This window comes from Homo sapiens, chromosome 9 (assembly GCF_000001405.40).
Source record: "Homo sapiens chromosome 9, GRCh38.p14 Primary Assembly".
NCBI lineage: Eukaryota > Metazoa > Chordata > Mammalia > Primates > Hominidae > Homo > Homo sapiens.
In genome coordinates this window covers 34620601-34639958 of record NC_000009.12, presented here as the reverse complement: position 1 = coordinate 34639958, position 19358 = coordinate 34620601, and the positions used below count along the sequence as shown (strand labels likewise).

Below are 19358 nucleotides of genomic sequence, written 5' to 3'. Positions count from 1 at the left end.
ACCTCAGGTGATCCACCCGCCTCGGCCTCCCAAAGTGCTGGGATTGCAGGTGTGAGCCACAGTGCCCGGCCCCTTTTTCTTTTCTTTTTTTTTTAGAGACAGGGTCTCCCTCTGTTGTCCAGGCTGGAGTGCAGTGGCACGATCTTGGCTCATTGCAACATCCACCTTCTGGGTTCAAGCGATTCTTCTGCTTCAGCCTCCCGAGTAGCTGGGACTACAGGCACCTGCCACCACGCCCGGCTAATTTTTTGTATTTTAGTAGAGACGAGGTTTCACCATGTTGCCCAGGGTGGTCTCGAACTTCTGAGCTCAGGAAATCTGCCTGCCCACCTTGGCCTCCCAAAGTGCTGGGACTACAGGTGTGTGCCACTGTGCCTGGCCCTTTTTTTTTTTTTTTTTTTTTTTTTTTTTGAGGCAGAGTCTCCCTCTGTTGGCTCAACTGCAACCTCCACTTCCCAGGCTCAAGCGATCCTCCCACTTCGGCCTCCTGAGTAGCTGGGACTACAGGTGTGCGCCCCCACTCCTGACTAATTTTTGTACTTTTTGCAGAGATGGGGTTTCACCATGTTGCCAAGGCTGGTCTCGAATACCTGGACTCAAGTGTTCCGTCTGCCTCAGCCTCCCAAAGTGTTGGGATTACAGTTATGAGCCACCTCGCCCGGCCTCAGTTTCTTTCTTTAAGGTCAAAAATGTATGAGGCTACTTTTTTCCAGTTCCTTTATGTTTTATATATATAACCATCACATAAAATTCTCACCATGTGAGGCACTAACTGCTTTATAAATATTAACCCATCTAATCTCATCACAATGAAGATATGTACTATGAGGTAGGTACTTATCTCCATTCCATTTTACAGGTAAGAAAACTAAGTTACAGAGATTTTAAGTAAACTGCCCAAGATCAGACAACTAGTAGGTAGCAGGAGCCAGGCCTTGAACTCAGGCAGTCCAGCTCCAGAGTTTATTTCTTAATCACTGCACAATGCTACCTCTTTTCTCTTTTGTTTCTTTTCCTTTTTGCTTTCTTCTTCCTCTGCCTACCCTTTGCTGTTGGTGCTCTCCAGGGCTCTGTCTTTAGCCTTATCTTACTCTATTCTCTCTCCCTGTGAGATTTCATCCATTCTTAGAGGTTTTCTGTAGACTCTCCAGTGAGATCTCTAAGCTGGGGAGTAGGACCATTGTTTCTAGCCATATCCCTAATGGCCACCACAGAACTTGGCACATACAAGTGCCAACAAAGTATCTGAATGAATGACAACTCCCAGCTCTATCTCCAGACTGGAGCTGAGCTTCGAGACCTGGACACTCAACTGCCCACTAGACATGCAAAGGATGTTAGCCAAATAAGGGGAAAGTGGGGATAGGATAAAGGGGGAAAGAGTATTCCAGGAAGAAGAGATCAAGCCCTGCCAACTCCATTTCCAGAGTTGTTAAGCTCATTTCTTTCTTCCATCTCCACTGACACAGACCTTCCCTCTTACCTGGCCCACAGTCATGGTCTCCCTGACTCATCTTGCTCCCCTCCACTCGACAGTCCTGTGCCACTCGGTGGCAAAATCTAATCCCCTTCCTCCCTTGCTGATAACCCTCAGCTGGTTTACAAGGCCTCCTCTCACATTTTGTGCCGCAGAACAGAGAAGGAATTGTAGGCCCCTGAAGACCCCAAGCTGTCTCTCCTCGGAGGCCTTTGCTCTAGGGGCTGGTCCCTGTGGGCTGGCATGCCCCTTCTGCGAGCTCTTAAAGACACTGCTCAGGTGTCACCGCCTCTGGAATGCCCACCCTGGGGCTCCCAGCTTGAACTGCCTCCTCTCCGCTTCAGTCCTGGTAAAGGCGGGCCTTAACAATCGTTGAGTCCCAGAAGGCTTCACTTCCGGGCTCGTCTGCTTCACCAGCCAGTGAGCTCGGGCGAGCCCGTCCATTCTGGGTCTCACTATCCCCACACCTATCCGTATGTAGAGTGGCGCTAGCTAGGTCAGACCTCGCCTGAAGACCCTGACATCTGCCGCTGGGCGACTTGGCCCCGCCCCCTTGCCTCCCTTGCGCGGCACCGCCCCACTCCTCCGTGCTCCCCCCGAGGAAATGGTTCAACCGAAGGGCGGTGCCAAGGTGCCCGGGCCGCTCCGATTGGTCAGGGCGAGCCGTACCACGGCGGTGGCGGGGGAGCGCTTCGTGGGCAGCCGGCGGGCTCCGAGGCCGTGAGCGCAAAGCCTCAGGCCCCGGCTCCCTCCTGAGCTGCGCCGTGCCAGGCCGCCCGCCGGGATGCAGTGGGCCGTGGGCCGGCGGTGGGCGTGGGCCGCGCTGCTCCTGGCTGTCGCAGCGGTGCTGACCCAGGTCGTCTGGCTCTGGCTGGGTACGCAGAGCTTCGTCTTCCAGCGCGAAGAGATAGCGCAGTTGGCGCGGCAGTACGCTGGTGAGCGGGCAGAGGGCAGGGAGGGGAGCGGCCGGCCTGGGAGCGGAGCCTAGGGTTCCGAAGGCGCCATCCCCGGACCTAGGACCGGTGCCAGCCCTGACTCCGCCGCCCCTCTGCCTCCGCCAGGGCTGGACCACGAGCTGGCCTTCTCTCGTCTGATCGTGGAGCTGCGGCGGCTGCACCCAGGCCACGTGCTGCCCGACGAGGAGCTGCAGTGGGTGTTCGTGAATGCGGGTGGCTGGATGGGCGCCATGTGCCTTCTGCACGCCTCGCTGTCCGAGTATGTGCTGCTCTTCGGCACCGCCTTGGGCTCCCGCGGCCACTCGGGTCAGTGCTAGCGGCGGGCCAGACTGGGAGGCTGGGGTTGTAAAGGGGCCCATGCCCTCCTTTCTGATGTTTGGCTGGGCCATGCAATGGCGCGAATACCCTGATAGTGTCATGTGCGATTGTCACTCAGGGCGCTACTGGGCTGAGATCTCGGATACCATCATCTCTGGCACCTTCCACCAGTGGAGAGAGGGCACCACCAAAAGTGAGGTCTTCTACCCAGGTGGGTAAGAAGGCTCTGTCAGAGAAGTGGGTCCCTTCACGCGGGGGGTGCCCACAATTGCGGGGAGCATGGCATGGAAAAGGAGTGTGTTGGGGGGGCCCTCCTCATGGTTCCCTTCCTCCACCCTCCCATAAGCCACAGGTGATTGGTTGGGGCAGAGCTGAGGGACTCTTGCTTTCCTCTGTCAAGGGGAAACAAAACATAACAACTTCCTATTAAACATGTCTGATTTTTATCTGCCCAGGCACAATTTTGCCCAGACAGTATTCCAACAACTGTTGGGGAGACAATGGGTAATCAGAAATGCTCTCAATACCCCAAAAGACAAGACAGACAGTTATCTTTTTATTTGTTTGTTTTTTGAGATGGAGTCTTGCTCAGTCGCCCAGGCTGGCGTGCAGTGGCGCGATCTCGGCTCACTGCAAGCTCCGCTTCCCGGGTTCACGCCATTCTCCTGCCTCAGCCTCCCGAGTAGCTGGGACTACAGGCGCCCGCCACCACGCCCGGCTAATTTTTTTTGTATTTTTAGTAGAGACGGGGTTTCACCATACCAGCCAGGATGGTCTCGATCTCCTGACCTCGTGATCCACCCGCCTCGGCCTCCCAAAGTTCTGGGATTACAGGTGTGAGCCACCGCGCCCGGCCGCTCCCCTGCCTTTTTTTTTTTTTTTTTTTTTTAATAGTGAAACAATTTACTTAAGAAATAGAGCACTGGACTTCCCAGTATATTTGAGGTTGGGTGTATGCATCGCAGGCATGGTGGTTGAACAGCTACACTTTTCAGATAAAGCCTCACAAGTCCTGGAACTACCCCTTTCCTAGCTACAAGCCCAGCCCAGGTTTAGCTAAATTTCTGCTTGATTCGAGTGAGGCTTGGGAGTGCAGACTTCCATACAGTGGGTCCATGGCCAAGCGAGGTAGCCGTCCATGGCTTCTCCAAAGAGAGGACGTGGGTCAGATGATGCCACAGAACATTTAGGAGTGGCCATCTGGGCCAGCCCAGTGAGGTAGGGCTTTTTGTTTTTCTGAAGCTCCCTCTCCATTCCCCACCCCTAGTTAGTCCATGGGCCAGGGAAGCAGCAGCCATGGAAGGGCAGGGCAGAGCTGGCTTTTCACTTGGGTGCTCCCTGTCCCCCAGGGGAGACGGTAGTACACGGGCCTGGTGAGGCAACAGCTGTGGAGTGGGGGCCAAACACATGGATGGTGGAGTACGGCCGGGGCGTCATCCCATCCACCCTGGCCTTCGCGCTGGCCGACACTGTCTTCAGCACCCAGGACTTCCTCACCCTCTTCTATACTCTTCGCTCCTATGCTCGGGGCCTCCGGCTTGAGCTCACCACCTACCTCTTTGGCCAGGACCCTTGACCAGCCAGGCCTGAAGGAAGACCTGCGGATAGACAGGAGCGGGCAGGCCCGCACATATCCACTTGCTGGAGCCCATGTTTACAGACAGGGACATACACCATGCAGATCCTGAGTTCCTGCTGTATGAGCAGGGATATCCATGCTTATGTATCCAAACACAGAGACCCATGGGAACAAATGAGACACATATAGATACTGAGACCTGTGTGTACAGTAGGACCATGCACTCACACCCATCTGGAGAGGGAGCCCCCGGTATACCAAGGGAGCCAGTTGTGTTCAGACACACACATCACAGCTTGACTCACTAACTGAGGCCTTTCCATAGCTCCACAGCTTCCCACCTCCTCCCCACCAAACCGGGGTTCTAGAGTTAAGGATGGGGGAGGGTATTATACTGCCTCAGTCTGACTCCTCAACCCAGCAGCAATTTGAGGGGATGAGGGGGAAGAGGAGCTGCCTTTTGGAGGCCCCCTTCACCTGCAGCTATGATGCCCTTCCCCTTCTCCCCTGTCCTCACCATATGCCTTATCCCCATTCTACTCCCCTGCTATGCAAGTGCCCCTGTGGCTTGTCCCCAACCCCCTCAGCAACAAAGCTCAGCTGGGGAACGAGAGTAATTTGAAGAATGCTTGAAGTCAGCGTCTTCCATTCCAGAAAGACCCCCATTCTTCCTTTGGGGGTATGATGTGGAAGCTGGTTTCAGCCCAGGACCCACCACTGAGGAGAGGATCTAGACAGGTGGGCCTAATTCCAAGGGGCCCTTCCTGGCCTGGAGAAGGCCTTTTACACACACACAACACATACACACACACACACACACACACATATCACAGTTTTCACACAGCCCCTGCTGCATTCTCTGTCCATCTGTCTGTTTCTATTAATAAAGATTTGTTGATCTGTTCCATCTTTTTGTGTGTCTGAGCAGCCGGAAAAAGCCTCTGACCCCTGGGGACCTCAGGAAGATCTCTCTCTTGCTGTGTGATTCATGGTAGATTTTTTTTTTTTTTTTTTAAGAGATGGGGTCTCCTCTGTTGCCCAGGCTGGAGTGCAGTGGCACAGTGACATGATCATAGCTCCCTGCAGCCTTGAACTCATGGTCCCAAACAATTTTCCTGCCTTAGCCTTATGAGTAGCTGGGACCTTATGAGTAGCAAATGCCACCATGCCTGGTTAGCTTTTTAAATTTTTTTTAGAAATGGGGTCTTGCTATGTTGCCCCGGCTGATCTCCAGCTCCTGGCCTCAAGTGATCCTTCCTCAGTCTCCAGAGTAGCTGAGATAACAGAAACAAGCCACCATGCCTGACAAGACAGTGGCTTTTGACTAGTAGGGACTATATACTTGAGTGTGCCTTAGAATCACCTAAGACACTCTTTGAGTCAGTAACTCAGACTACTGAGCTCCATTGCCAGAGATCAACATGTTCAATAAGATTTCTTCCAACACAGCTGCGAATGCCACAATTTGAGAAATTCAGGGCAGGGTGACCTGGAGTGTGTCTTGGTCTTACCTCTGCCGGTGCAATCCTGGGAACAGTCCTAAGAATCTTCCCCTGGCTGACCACAGGGTGGCAGTGTGCACCCACTTTTTAGCTGAAAGGCATAGTTCTCAGTTGGCTTTTTTTCTGGGCTCCCAGAGTAGTGTCTGCCCCCACCCAAAACAGGAGATCCTCCAGTCTATGGTCTGCCTTCTCCAGGACCCACCACTAATGTGGAGGCTCCCACAATGAAAGGAAGGCACACTACCTGGCAGTATGTGAGGTAGGTAGGGCCTGGACTCAGGTAAGGCAAGAGAGGTGCCTAAAGTGCATTCATTCCCAAAGACCCTGCTCTTGCCTTAACTTCTGCATTTTACACACCAAGCATGCCTCACCCTCGTCCTGGCCCTGTTCTGAGGGTAAGGCATAGATCACTCCTGCTTCTCAGGATTCCTGGTATTTTAAAAATGGAAGAAACATGGTTATAAAAATTAGATATTTTAACATTCTAAAGAACACAAATCCGAAAGACTATATGTATAACTGCATTTAGAAACAACATCAAAAGTCAATTTGTGACTGAATGTGGAGTCCAGGTAAGTTGGCCAACCTGAAACCGACTCTTCACCCCCAATACCACCGTGTCAGGCATAGTAGGCCCTGGCTGGCTCCTCTCCACTCACCCCAGGTTGCAAATCCATGCCTCCTGGGGGATTCCTACTCTGTAACCCAGCTCTGCCTCTAGGCTCAGAGCCCACATGTCAGGGATGACCCAGCTTGCCCTGTCATTCCTCCCAAACGTCCACAAAGGACTAGGCTCCCAGGCCCCTCCTAATCTCTGCTGCTAAATCCGTTGGTCGTTTCATAGTTCTTAGCTTTCATTTGACACAGGGTAATCACTCTGAAGGCACTCTTAGTTTCTGGGACACTACTCCTCCTTAATTGCCTCCTTTACTGGAATTTTTTTTTTTTTTTTTTTTAGTAGAGACAAGAGTTTCACCACGTTGGCCAGGCTGGCCTCAAACTCCTGACCTCAAGTAATCCGCCCATGTTGGCCTTACAAAGTGCTGGGATTACAGGTGTGAGCCACTGCACCCAGCTACTGGATTCCTATCTCCTCATTCTCTGACTTTCTTGGGCTTAGTCCTCAAACCTCTTCTGTTTACACCCCTTCCCAGGTGATTCTGTGACTTTACCATCTATATATCTTGACTTCTAAATTTTTGTCTCAGCCTAAATCTCTGCCCTGAGCACCAGAGTTGGAAATCTTACTGCCTTCATCTCTACTCAACATCTCCACTTGGCTGTCTAATAGGTATCTCAGACTTGAGATATCCAAAGCAAACCGAATTCTCTCCCAGCCCCACACCACCACCATCCTGTAGTCTTTACTGTGAATTAAGGGCACCTCCATTTACCCAGCTGCCCAGAGTCATTTTGGACACATCTGTTTCTCTCATGTCCCACATCCAATCCATCATCAAATACTGTTTTTATCTGCAGAATATATCCAGACTCTAATCATGCCTTCTCACCTCCACTGCCCCCACCCTGGTCTAAGACACCATCATCTCTTGCCTATAGACTATTGCAATGGCCCCCTAACTGATCTTCACGCATGCATCTTGTGTGGAGGGTTCTCCACGCAGCAGCCAGTCAGACTTTCACTCTCTGCTGAGACCTAACCAGTGGCTTTCCATCTCATTCTGTCCTTTCACTCCTTACAAGGGCCTACTCCAAGGCCCATGTTTCCTCTGATCAGACATTCCAACCACTCACCCCTTCAGCCCCCCTATTCCAACCCAGTGGCCTCCTTGCTTTTCTTCCAACACATCAAGCAAAATTCTATCCCAGGATATTTGTACCTGCTATTCTGACCGTAGTGCTCGTCCCTAGGTATCCACGTAGTCATAGCTCTCTTCCTCCCCTCCTTCAATTCCTGCTCACTGAGTTCTTCAACACTTATATAATAGTATCTCTTGCATGGTGATTTGAAATACCTTCACAAAATTTTTGATGCTCTGTCCTTCAAGAGGTGAAGCCTAAATTCCTTCCCCTTGAGTGGACTAGACTTAATTATGTACTTTCACAAATAATGTGGCATAAATAACAGTGTGTGACTTCTAGGACTAGGCCATAAAAAGCATTGCTGTCTAAAGAGTCTCTCTTGGATCATTCTGGGGGAAACCAACTGCCATGTTGAGAGGACATACAAGCAATCCTATGGAGAGGCCCATATTGCGGGGGGAACAGGCCCCCTGCCAAGGGCCATGCAAGTGAGCCATTTTGGAAGTAGATCCTCCAGTTCCAGTCAAGCCTTCAGATGACTGCATCCCTGGCCAACCTTTTTACTACAACACCTTAGAGGACAATGAGTCAGAACCATCCAGACCCACAGAATTGTGAGAAAATAAATGTTTTTGTTTTAAGCTGCTAAATTATGGGGTGATTTGTTACACAGCAATAGGTAACTAATGCCCCCTTTTATGTTCCCCCCAACCCAGCTACATTTTTCTCCATGGTACTTACCACTATCTGACACACTGTATATTTCCCCCACTTAGAATTGTACCATTATAATAAGGACTTTGTCTTATTTGCTCCTGTGTCCAACAGTGCCTGGCAAAAAAAATAGATAATAAATATGTGTTGGATGAATGAAGCATGGGTCTCTGAAGGTCTAGGTCTGTCTCCGTCTCTGTGAGGTATAAGACCAGACTGCGGGTATGAGAGGCAGCCTTTCCTTTTCACAGATGAAGAGAGATAAACCAAGTCCCAGTCAAGCATATTCCTTCCCCTCAGCCCTTCCCAGTTGTAGCCCTCCTGGCCCAGACCCCAAAAGTGGATTAACTTTGCTTGATTGATTTGGGAGCTGGGGGAGTGACTGCCCAGCCCCTTACCATTCAACCCAAACCCTACAAAGCGATCTCCAAACACTCAGAACTGGAATTTCCCCAAGCCAATTCCTACCTTTCTAGGAAGACTCTGGCCACCTACCTTTGTCCATGGACCTCCTCTGAGCAGCCAGGGGAAGCTGTGGTGGGGAAAAGGGAGCAAGCAGGGCACAAGGGTTCTGTGGATTGCTACCCTCTGCTCTCCAGTCTTCCAGTAGACTTCCAGGGCATGTCTGTCTGCCTGGCACATTCACTGATTCTCCCCTCCCAGCATCAGGGAGGGTTGGGCAGAGGAGGAGGCTTGGCTCTGCCCCAGGATACTCACACCAAACAAAGCCATGGGGGAGGAGGCATCAGTACCGACAGTGATTGGATCACTGGAGCTTCTGGAGGCTGGGGGGTTCTGATGGGCTCAGAGGTCTGAAATCTGAGGTGGAGGACACTGGGGCAGCCAAAGGAATGAATGGGGTGAGCCTCAGCGTGGCCAGGAATGGGCCATAGAGAACCAGGACTTAGTGCTGCAGTAGAAGCTGGGCACAGAAGGGTGCAGAGAAGGGTGGCGGCTGGAGGCAGGGAGAGCAGGGAGGAGGCACCCACCATGGTCAGACCCACCATGGTCAGAAGAGCCGGTGGTTTGAGCCAGAGCAAGCTGAGGCTGAGAGGAGTGGACTGATTGGGAGAGGACAAGGGAGGAGGGAGGAGACAAAGGTCGTGTTTGGATTCCTGCCTTCTGGGGGTGTGAGGTCAGAAGACAGTCTCTGGTGCCACAGTTTCATACCTATGCCAAGTGTCACCCCTACAGACACCTGCTGTTCACTTACACACTTGGCATCACCTCACAGTGTCCCTCTGTTTGGTAAGTGGTCCCCTTGGGCACAGGAAGAAATAGGAAGTATGAGGATTCCCGGGAGGAGTGGGGTCCAGGCTGTTCAGAGCAGAAATTCTGAGAGGCCTGCCACTCAGAACCCCCAAATAAGGAACAGCATTTCAGCGTCTTGGGAATAGTTAGGGGGAGGGCGCAAAGCAGTGGGCTGAGGGGGTCTGGAGATACAGATGTGGCAGTCAGGCACACATAGGTGGAGAATGTGTGTGAACATGGGCGAAGTGCCGGTCACTGTTGAAACAAACCTATGATGAGTACCAGAGGTTCATTATACTATTCACTTGTCTATGTTTCAAAATTTTCATAATACAGGCTGGGTACGGTAGCTCATGCCTGTAATCCCAGCACTGTGGGTGGCCAGGGTGGGTGGATCACTTGAGGTCAGGAGTTCGAGACCAGCCTAGCCAAAATGGTGAAACCCCATCTCTACTAAAAAGACAAAAATTAGCCGGGTCTGGTGGTGGACGCCTGTAATCCCAGCTAATTCCAGCTATTCGGGAGGCTGAGGCAGTAGAATCACTTGAACCTGGGAGGCGGAGGCTGCAGTGAGCCCAGATCGCGCCACTGCACTCCAGCCTGGGTGACAGAGACTCTGTCTCCAAAAAAGAAAAAAAAGAAAAGAAAGAAAAAGAAAAGAAAAGAAAATTTCCATAATAGAATGTCAAAAGAGACAAAAACTGTGTGTGGCTGTGTATCTGCATGCGGTGAGTGTGCAGTCAGCTTAAAGACCTCTGAGAGTGTGTGAGTGCATAGGTGTGGGTCCACCACCATGTGCACTCATGTGTGCAAACCGCAGCATGCCCGCAGTGGGGGACAGCACGTAGGCAGGGCAGGGGTGCTCAAGGCAAAGGGAGAAGCTTCTATTCTGACCAGACCCTCCACGCACACCCCAGCATCTTGCAGAGGGATTCCCCTCTTGATCACAGCGTGCCCAGGCCATTGGCACTGTGGTGACCATGTCACGGAACGTGTGAGACTGGGAAGCTATGCGCCTGAACTTGTGACAAGGTGTGTTGGTGTGTGGATGCGGCTATTTGTATGTGGAAGCCCAGTGCCGAGTGTGGGTGTCGGGGGCACGACTTGTGAGGCTGGGCGGGGCTCTGGTCCGGAGTCCGGTGGCGGTAGAGCCCTCATTTTCGCACGATTCCCCCGCAGCTTTCCAGCGCCCCCTGCCCCCGAAGCTGGCTGGAAAGAAGGTGGGAGACACCTGTTGGGGAGCTGAGAGCGGCAGATCCCACAGGGGCCTCTCCCCATGCGCCCCGCCCGCCCTGCCCCGCTCGGGTCCCGCCCCCGCGGCCGCCGCAAGCAGCGCGGCGAGTGAGCGCACAGCCGCCAGAGGAGCACAGGGCGGCGGGAGCGCACCGCCGGGACCCAGCCGAGGCCAGGGCCGCCTGGGAGGCGGGCGGAGCAAAGGCAGCGCCGTGGAGACGCCAGGGGCAGCGGGCCACGCCAGGCAGGTGAGTGCGGCCGCGGGGCGCCCGGAGCGAGGGAGCCGGGCGTCGCGACTCTGCCGCCTCCTGCCCGTCCGGTCCCGTGCCCGTCCCAGGCTCTGCCCCACCGCCCTCCATCCCCGCGACTCCTTGGTCCCTGTCCTCTGCCCCTCTCTCCGGCTGTTTTTCCCGTCCCTGTCTCTGTCGGTCCCTCTCTATTTAACTGTCTCTTTCTAATCTCTCTCTTCTGTCCGTTTCCTGCTGTCTTGGTCTTTCCCTATATCTCAACCCCTGTCTATTTGTCTATCTCCGCCTCTGTCTCTCCGTCTCTGTCCGTCTCTGAGCTACCTGTCACTTAGGTCTTTTATCTGTTGCTCCTCTACCTCTCTTACCCTCCCTGTCTCTCTACCCAATATTCTATCTCTCTCCATCTCTGTCTGTCTACCCTGTCTCTGCCTGATACCTCTGCCTCTCTCCATCTTGGTCCCTCTCAGTCTCTGTGTCACCCCACTTCTGTCTCTCCTTGTCACCCTGTTCCATCTCTATTTTCACATCTCCCTGTCATTGTCTCTGTCGGACATCCCCCTTCTCCTTTTCTTTCTCTCTCCCTTCCTTCACCATTTCCCGATGTCTCTTGGTCCCCGTCACCCTCTCTGATCTGCTCACTCTTCCAGTCCTCAGTCAATGGCCATTTGATTCCCCGGGTCTGGTCCTGTTTCTGTTCACCTCTGGGAAAGCCATCTTTCTGCCTCTTTCCTTGTGACCCCTGCACTTCCCTGAATCCATGACCACCTCCCCCTGTGTTGGGGGGCTCTGGGGGCAGTAGGGCCCAGCACCCATAATTCCCTCCCCCACAGGCGGCCCTTTCCTCGGGGTCCCGCCTGGTACCAGGGACCCCCTCAGCTGGGGGACTGCGCCTGGAAGCTGTCATGGAGGCCCTGCAGAAGCAGCAGGCAGCTCGGCTGGCCCAGGGGGTGGGGCCATTGGCCCCTGCATGCCCGCTGCTGCCACCGCAGCCTCCCCTGCCTGACCACCGGACCCTACAGGCCCCTGAGGGGGCCTTGGGGAATGTTGGGGCTGAGGAAGAGGAAGATGCTGAAGAAGATGAGGAGAAGCGGGAGGAAGCCGGGGCAGAGGAGGAGGCAGCTGAGGAGAGCCGTCCAGGGGCCCAGGGCCCCAGCTCGCCTTCTAGCCAGCCCCCTGGACTCCATCCCCACGAGTGGACCTACGAGGAACAATTCAAGCAGGTAGGACCTATGCCCTCAATGTCCGGCCCTCTTCCCTATCTCTCTCTTCTGGCAAAAGCACAGCCAGGTGATTAGCAGCCCACCCACCCCCACCACCCTCTGCAAGATGAAAAGAGACACAGAGACACGGAGACCTATAGAAAGACAGAGAGAAGATTGGAGGATAGTGACAGGGAGGGAAAGACAGATGCCTGGCTAATTTTTTAAAATTTCTTTTGTAAAGACAAGGTTTTCTTGTATTGCCCAGGCCGGTCTCGAACTCTTGACTTCAGGTAATCCTCCCACCTCAGCTTCCCAAAGTGCTGAGATTACAGGGATGAGCCACCATGCCCAGCCAGGTGTAGGGAAGGCAGTCTAGGGGCTGGGGATTCCAATGCCAGCACCACCCTGCCTACCTTCTCACACATCAAGTCACAAGGTCATATTCCAGTGACCAGTGGGGGTGACCCAGTTGCTTCCTCTGTCTTTGGAAGCAGAATGGAGGTTATCACTCACTTGGCAGGCTGATACACCTTTCCTTTCTTTCCTGTCACCTCCTCCCTAACCCTGGCCCCATGCAAATCTCCCTGGCCTGAGTTCCACGGATGATAGTTCCCAGCCTGGGATGGCCACTACAGCCGCAGTATGACTAAAGGGCTCCTCCGCAACTCAGAATGACAAGACTTCATTCACAGGGCCTTAATCTGAGGTTCTTTCTCCCTGGAGAACCCTTCTGGGTGTTATTCTAAGGACACTACTCAAGGCTGTCACTATGAAGGTGTTACACAGGGCTGTGTCTCCAGGTGTGCTATTCTGGTACTTGTAGGGTGTTGGTCTGGGTATATTCCAAAAGTGTTGATCTGTGACTAGTACTCTGGCATTAGTATAAAACTGAGTGTTACTCAGGGCTCTGTTCTGGATATGTGGTCTAGAGACTGTTTCTCCTAGGTATAATTCTAGGGGTTATTACTTGGATCTAAGTAATAACATCTTAGACTTAGGGCTCAATTTTTGTGGGAATGTGGCTCTAAAGGTGGATCTGGGGTTTATTACTCATGGATATTTTGTTTGTTTTATACTCTGAGGATTCTTATGGGGATGGAGTGATGGAATATTATCTATAGGTGTTACTCAAGGACTGTTACTCTGGGTCAGTGACTCAAGGGGTGGTTCTCTTGACTAGTATTCGGGAGTTGATGCAGGAGGTGGGACTCCAGATTACCAGGAAGAGTTGAGATGGCCTGTGGATCCTTTAAACTCTGACCCCACAGGTCCTAGGTGGTACAGGGCCAGTGCCTCTATAGCAGCGTCTGTAGGCAGGTTAACTGCCTCTGAAAGGAAATCAGACCAGAAGATGAGCTGAAGGGCCCTGGGTGTCAACCCAGGAGCTTCTGAGCATCACCCTGCCTGAGGGGTGGGTTAGGAGCATCTCTGCCCTTCAGTCACCCCCAGCCCTGGCATACAGGGATGTGAACACCATGAAGTCCTTGCATGAATGAATCAGAGCATCAGATATATGTTTGTCTCCTCAGTCTGGTATACAACCCCAGCCTAGCTTCCTTCCTGGGGCTCTAAATTTCCCATGAGGGTGGGGGAAGACTGAGCCCCAGAGGGCAGGCTGAGCCTCCAAGCTCCATCCTGTTCCTCTCTTCCCTTACTCCCCAGATGGGTGGTTTGAATGGCCCAGGGTACCACTACCAGTACCAGTCTCTGTATGTACTAGAAAAAGGCACCCCTGCCTGCCCCTAGGCGGAGAGAGCCTAATGCTAATCCCAGGGAGTCCACATTGAGATCCTACTGACTCCTTCAGCTAGGGACCCTTGTTCAGGGTACAACCTGAATTGGGGTCAAGGGAGGGAGGGGGAGTCAGCAGAGCTGTAGAATGACCCCAATCCTTCCCCAGCTGTATGAGCTCGATGCAGACCCCAAGAGGAAGGAATTTCTGGATGACCTGTTTAGCTTCATGCAAAAGAGGGGTGAGTGGCATGATGTGGGGGAAGGGCCCTGGAATTGCCCCCTTACCAGGTTTGAGGAAACCCGGTTGGGTTCTCCCTGCTGAGGCCTGAGCTTGGCAGCACCTGTCCTTTGGGCCCTCGATAGCGTCTTTAACCTCTGACCCTGTCCCCCTCCTCCACCCCAGGATTAATTAGTGGCCAGCCCACTGGCAGGTTAATGAGTTTGGGATCAATTGGGAGGGTGGGAGGGGGAACTGATGGGAGCCTGGCCTGGGGTGGGAGGGTCCCAGAATCAGAGGGCTGAGAATGCCTTGGTTCTGTGTCCAGGGTCCTTCCTCCAGCCATGTCTTCCCTGTTTTCCCTTGATTCAGGCAGGGGACACCTCACGTGCTCTACAGCAGGAAGGACTAGGAATAGACTGAAGGAAGGACTTCCCAAGGGGTGGGCTGGGGACTATGTGAGTTGAGGCTGTGGAGGAGGAGAAATTCCTTTCCAGGAATGTCAGAGCTGGAGGAGAACGCAAGAAGGGTCCAGGAGGGCATCAGGGTGGGCGGCAGTCCATCACTTCAGCTTTTTCCCAGATTCATGGGACCGAACACTGACTCATTATCTCTCTCTGCAAAGCTAATTAACTCACTCAGAGCGCAGCCTGATAAGCCGCTAATTAACTGGCTGCCCTGTTACCCCCCGCCCCCCCACCGCCTTTAGTGCAGCTGCTGGCCCACTTCCCACTCCCGGCCCTCACCCCAGCACCTCTTTCTGGTCCCTTACCTTCCCAGGGACCCTCAGTAGGGACCTAAGTCCTTTTGGTTCCCAGGGAGGCCCATTCTGGTTCCAGTGTTCCCTCTCTGGCCCTTCCTCGAGGCCTCCCCTCCACTGGGGTAGCGGGTGTGAACCGATCCCAGCATTGCCTGCCTCCCTTCGGTCCCTGCCTCCCACCGCTCCAGCTGCAGGGGGAGGGGGTCCCGCGGGGCCGATAATTTTCCCCCATTAATCAGGCCGCAGCTAATTGTTCGGGTCCAAAGGCGCGGCGGAAGGGGACGGGATCGGTAAGGAATTAACTGGGGCCCATCGCTCAGCGCAGACAGGCCCCTTTGTCAGGACTGGCCGGCGGGGGCGGCGCGGGCTGCGGAGTCGGCGGGCCGAGGCGGGAGTTGATTCTTTTCCCGCCCGTCATCCCCCAGCCTTGGGCAGCCACCCGGGGGCTGCTGCTTAGGGGAGGCCGGCTCTTCAGCACTGTCCGAAAGTCCTTCCTGCGGTCTACCCCAGGGGACAGCAAACTAAAGTTTGCAGGCCAAACCCAGCTGCCTGCAAGATAAGAATGGTTTTTACTTGTTTAAATAGTTGGGGGACAAAATTTAAAGATGAATAACATCTCCAGACTGGTGAAATTCGAATTTCAGAGTCTATATTATTGGAACACAGCCGCATCCATTCCTTCAGGTATTCTCTATGGCCGCCTTTAGGCTACAATGACAGCGTTGAGTAGTTGTGACAGAGACCATTTAGCCATCTGGCCTTTTACAGAACTTTGCCCCCCCCCGTTCTAGCCTCCTGTCCTTCTTGCTAAAACAGAGACCCTGGGGTTCTGTGGGCTCCGCCCAAGTCTCCCTCTTTCCCGCCCTCCCCGGGGCTCCCGTCCTGTATCAGTCCCTGGGGATGCTGCAGACAGGGTCTTCGTCTCAGTGTCCTGACGGCAGCCCGCTCCCCACCAGGGACGCCAGTGAACCGCGTGCCCATCATGGCGAAGCAGGTGCTCGACCTGTACGCTCTGTTTCGCCTGGTGACCGCCAAGGGCGGCCTGGTGGAAGTCATCAACCGCAAAGTGTGGCGGGAAGTCACGCGCGGCCTCAGCCTACCCACCACCATCACCTCGGCCGCCTTCACTCTACGCACCCAGTGAGGCCAGGGGCGGGAGCGGAAGGGAAGGGGGCACGGGTTCGGCCTGGGGCGGGAGGGGGGAGGGTCCCCGGGCGGGCGTCCGGCTGTGGGACTTGACCAGCTGGGTGCAGCCTCCCATACACTCACCGCCCGCTGTCCGCCCCTAGGTACATGAAGTACCTGTACCCGTACGAGTGCGAGACTCGAGCGCTCAGCTCCCCAGGGGAGCTCCAGGCCGCCATAGACAGCAATCGGCGCGAGGGCCGTCGCCAGGCTTACACCGCTACTCCGCTCTTCGGCTTGGCAGGGCCGCCCCCTCGGGGCGCTCAGGACCCAGCCTTGGGTCCCGGCCCCGCCCCTCCGGCGACCCAGTCCAGCCCTGGCCCAGCCCAGGGTTCCACCTCCGGCCTGCCAGCGCATGCATGCGCTCAGCTGAGTCCAAGCCCTATTAAGAAAGGTGCGAGGGGAGAATGGTAGAGGTTTCGGGGTCTCTGAGGTTTAGGTGGGCGCTAAGATATAGCAACCATTAAAATGTGAGGATTGAGGTCTGGGGAGGCATTGAGGTATGGGAGCAGTAAGGTCTGACGGGCTTCTGAGGTTTGGGGGTCACTAAGGTTTAGGGGTCCTGAGGTTTGCGGCCAAATGAGAGCTCTGGGGTACGGGTTACTGAAGTGTAGGGGCTGAAGTTCAGGAAAAGGTCCTTTTTTTTCTTTTTTTCTTTTTTTTTTTTTTTTGTGAGACGGAGTCTCGTTCCGTCGCCCAGGCTGGAGTGCAGTGGCGCGATCTCAGCTCACGGCAACCTCCGCCTCCCGGGTTCAAGCGATTCTCCTGCCTCAGCCTCCCGAGTAGCTGGGACTACAGGGGCCCGCCACCATGCCCGGCTAATTTTTGTATTTTTAGTAGAGACGGGGTTTCACCGTGTTAGCCAGGATGGTCTCGATCTCCTGACCACGTGATCCGCCCTCCTCCGCTTCCCAAAGTGTTGGGATTACAGGCTGAGTCACCGCGCCCGGCCAGGAAAAGGTCCTTTAATCACAGCAACTCCATTCCACACATGTCCACCCAGTGCTCCTATTTGCATATAGTTTGTGCCTCTTGTGACCTGGATTATTTAATAACCAACAGCCAAAAACAATCCCCCAAATTGTCTAGACATGTACCTTGATCCTTTGGGCTCTAGAGAAAAGCTTCAGCGCTTCCAGGCTGAGGCTCTGGATGGGAAGATAGATCGAATGAAGGATGAGAGATTGGTACATGAGCTTGAGTTACCTCTTTTGGTCCCAGGCCTGGGGGAGAACCAATGCAGAGATGGGTTGGTTTGGCCAGGGGAGCTGAATAACCTGTTCTTCTAGAGGAGAGTGGAATTCCAAACCCTTGTCTGGCACTGCCTGTGGGCCTGGCACTGGGACCTACACGGGAGAAATTGGCACCAGAGGAGCCCCCAGAGAAGAGAGCTGTGCTGATGGGGCCTATGGACCCACCTCGACCTTGCATGCCCCCCAGTTTCCTGCCCCGTGGCAAGGTTCCCCTGAGGGGTGAGGAGGGGCTTGTTGTGAGGGGGCTTCGGGACTGTACACTGAGGGAGGATTGACCCATCACCTGATAGGTGTTAGAGACGGGGCAGACAGATTCCTCTGTAGACAACTGTGTGAGTATAGGTGTGGGGCTGAAGTGGAATGGGGGCTGTCTACGGGGATGGAGGGGGGAAATTCTATTAATAAGTCAGAAGTCTGATTCTCCAAAATGTGATTCCTCTGCCCCCTCCTGGACAGAAGAGCGGCTGGATGGGCCTCTTAATCTGGCAGGCAGTGGCATCAGCAGTATCAACATGGCCCTAGAGATCAACGGGGTGGTCTACACTGGTATGGGTACTGCAGGCTGTCTACACTGGCATGGGGTCAGGGGTATTTAGGCTGGCATGGGGATTTTAGACTTCCTCTACTAGCATGAAGTTCAGGGATATCTAAACTTGCATGAGTAACATGGAGTTCAGGGGATTGCTAGACTGGCATGGGTTAAAGGGGGTGTCTACATGGCATGGGATCCAAGGCATGACCTCTCTGGCATGAGTACCAGGGGATGTCTGCCTTGTCTTGGGCCTATGTATCAGCATAAATATTCCTTGTTTACCTGTTTGAGGTATCTACATTAGCAATGGAGTCTCTTACTGACCCAAGGAGCTTGTCCTCATTGGTTTGTGGCAGGGGTACGTGTGTAGTGTTCTAGCAACCAGAACACTTACTTTTGTTCCCCTCTTCTGTTTCCATACCCTACCCCCTCCTGCTTGTTTTTGCCCTCTACCATCTCCTCACCCCTTTGCCAGGTGTCCTCTTTGCCCGCCGCCAGCCTGTGCCAGCTTCCCAGGGTCCAACCAACCCTGCACCCCCACCCTCCACAGGGCCCCCTTCCAGCATCTTGCCCTGAGAGGTCCTACTTGAAACTAAGAGTCCCAGCCCCATTGCTGAGGGGGGAGGAGACCCCCTGCTTTGATTCTTTCTGGCTGCCCACTCTGGGACCCAGCCCTGGGAGGGGACGACACCTCCCATGCCATGTGGACTTAAAACCAAAGTTTCTTTTGATGTTACACCTACCTCATTGTAAAGGGAGGGCACCTCCTCCCTGGCCAATTCCAGCAGCACCTACCAAAGGGTTCTTCCTCCAGTAACCCCATCATCTCCTCATGTGTTCCCTCTGTCAATGTCATCTCTAGGACCCTACCCTTTTGAGTCAGCCCTGCTTCTCTTCAGGAGCCAAGTGAAAGGTTGGGTTGGGGTACTGTGAAAGAGACATCCCTCAGGTCACATCTAGACAATAAAGCTGCGGTCCCTCCCTCTCTGATGCCTCCTTTCTTGTTTGGGTATGGGAGGTGGGGAGGAATGATGTGGAACATAGGCTGCCTTGGGCCAGGGGCTTTCAGAGGTTAAGGCAGAATAGCAAAGTTTCGTGAGAATAGAAGAGCTCCGTCTCTTGAATCAGACAGCCTGAGTTCAAGTCCTGTTTCTGTCCCTATAGTGCTGGGTGGCCTTGGGCAAGTTACTTAATCAACTGAACCTTAGAAGACTCCAAAAGTTTATGGTAACTCACGGAGCCTCCTAATGATGTATCTATGGGAATGGACCTATCCTGGAACACGTGCAAACTCAGGGAATGGCGTGGGGAAAGCTCTTTGGTACCCGAAAAGCAAAGGTTATCTTGACAACCAGGCACTGGAAGCCAGGGGAGGGATGGGACAGAGCCGTTGCCAAGGTAATCAGCTTTTGACAGCTCCGAGGAGTAACTTC

The 19358-nt window shown here is 53.9% G+C and overlaps 2 protein-coding genes across 11 annotated transcripts, besides 4 other annotated features; both read left to right on the top strand.

Annotated features, from left to right (window-relative positions):
• Positions 1933 to 2422: a silencer, noted in NCBI's record as "silent region_19853". NCBI's record gives its function as "represses an Ori minimal core promoter by ATAC-STARR-seq in GM12878 lymphoblastoid cells {active_cell/tissue: GM12878}" and the evidence as "EXISTENCE:reporter gene assay evidence [ECO:0000049][PMID:35858748]".
• SIGMAR1 (sigma non-opioid intracellular receptor 1) lies at positions 2172 to 5237 on the top strand. 8 transcript variants are annotated; one of them, NR_104108.2, is made up of 4 exons: positions 2172 to 2412; positions 2539 to 2626; positions 2870 to 2962; positions 4101 to 5237. NR_104108.2 is itself a non-coding variant. In NM_001282207.2 (4 exons), the coding sequence occupies exons 1-4, from the start codon at positions 2262 to 2264 to the stop codon at positions 4325 to 4327; spliced, it is 612 nt and encodes a 203-aa protein (NP_001269136.1). In that variant the 5' UTR covers positions 2172 to 2261; the 3' UTR covers positions 4328 to 5237. The 8 variants fall into 8 exon arrangements, 7 of the variants coding, with proteins under 7 accessions (NP_001269136.1, NP_001269135.1, NP_001269134.1 ...); NM_001282207.2 differs by having other exon boundaries at positions 2172 to 2352; positions 2539 to 2739; NM_001282206.2 differs by having other exon boundaries at positions 2539 to 2692.
• Positions 6948 to 18910, top strand: ARID3C (AT-rich interaction domain 3C). 3 transcript variants are annotated; one of them, XM_047422781.1, is made up of 9 exons: positions 6948 to 9558; positions 10741 to 11042; positions 11873 to 12262; positions 14145 to 14217; positions 15912 to 16095; positions 16245 to 16534; positions 17430 to 17612; positions 17850 to 17939; positions 18401 to 18593. In XM_047422781.1, exons 1-9 carry the CDS (start codon positions 9483 to 9485, stop codon positions 18499 to 18501), a joined length of 1689 nt encoding a protein of 562 aa, XP_047278737.1. In that variant the 5' UTR covers positions 6948 to 9482; the 3' UTR covers positions 18502 to 18593. The 3 variants fall into 3 exon arrangements, with proteins under 3 accessions (XP_047278737.1, NP_001017363.1, NP_001358874.1); NM_001017363.4 differs by lacking the exon at positions 6948 to 9558 and having other exon boundaries at positions 10893 to 11042; positions 18401 to 18910; NM_001371945.2 differs by lacking the exons at positions 6948 to 9558; positions 17430 to 17612 and having other exon boundaries at positions 10893 to 11042; positions 18401 to 18910.
• Positions 10775 to 10934: a silencer, noted in NCBI's record as "silent region_19852". NCBI's record gives its function as "represses an Ori minimal core promoter by ATAC-STARR-seq in GM12878 lymphoblastoid cells {active_cell/tissue: GM12878}" and the evidence as "EXISTENCE:reporter gene assay evidence [ECO:0000049][PMID:35858748]".
• Positions 10985 to 11084: a silencer, noted in NCBI's record as "silent region_19851". NCBI's record gives its function as "represses an Ori minimal core promoter by ATAC-STARR-seq in GM12878 lymphoblastoid cells {active_cell/tissue: GM12878}" and the evidence as "EXISTENCE:reporter gene assay evidence [ECO:0000049][PMID:35858748]".
• Positions 15217 to 15765: an enhancer, noted in NCBI's record as "H3K4me1 hESC enhancer chr9:34624191-34624739 (GRCh37/hg19 assembly coordinates)". NCBI's record gives its function as "activates a minimal SCP1, AML or CMV promoter by ChIP-STARR-seq in naive and primed H9 embryonic stem cells {active_cell/tissue: H9 hESC(naive and primed)}" and the evidence as "EXISTENCE:reporter gene assay evidence [ECO:0000049][PMID:30033119]".
• Positions 18911 to 19358: the final 448 nt, after the last annotated feature.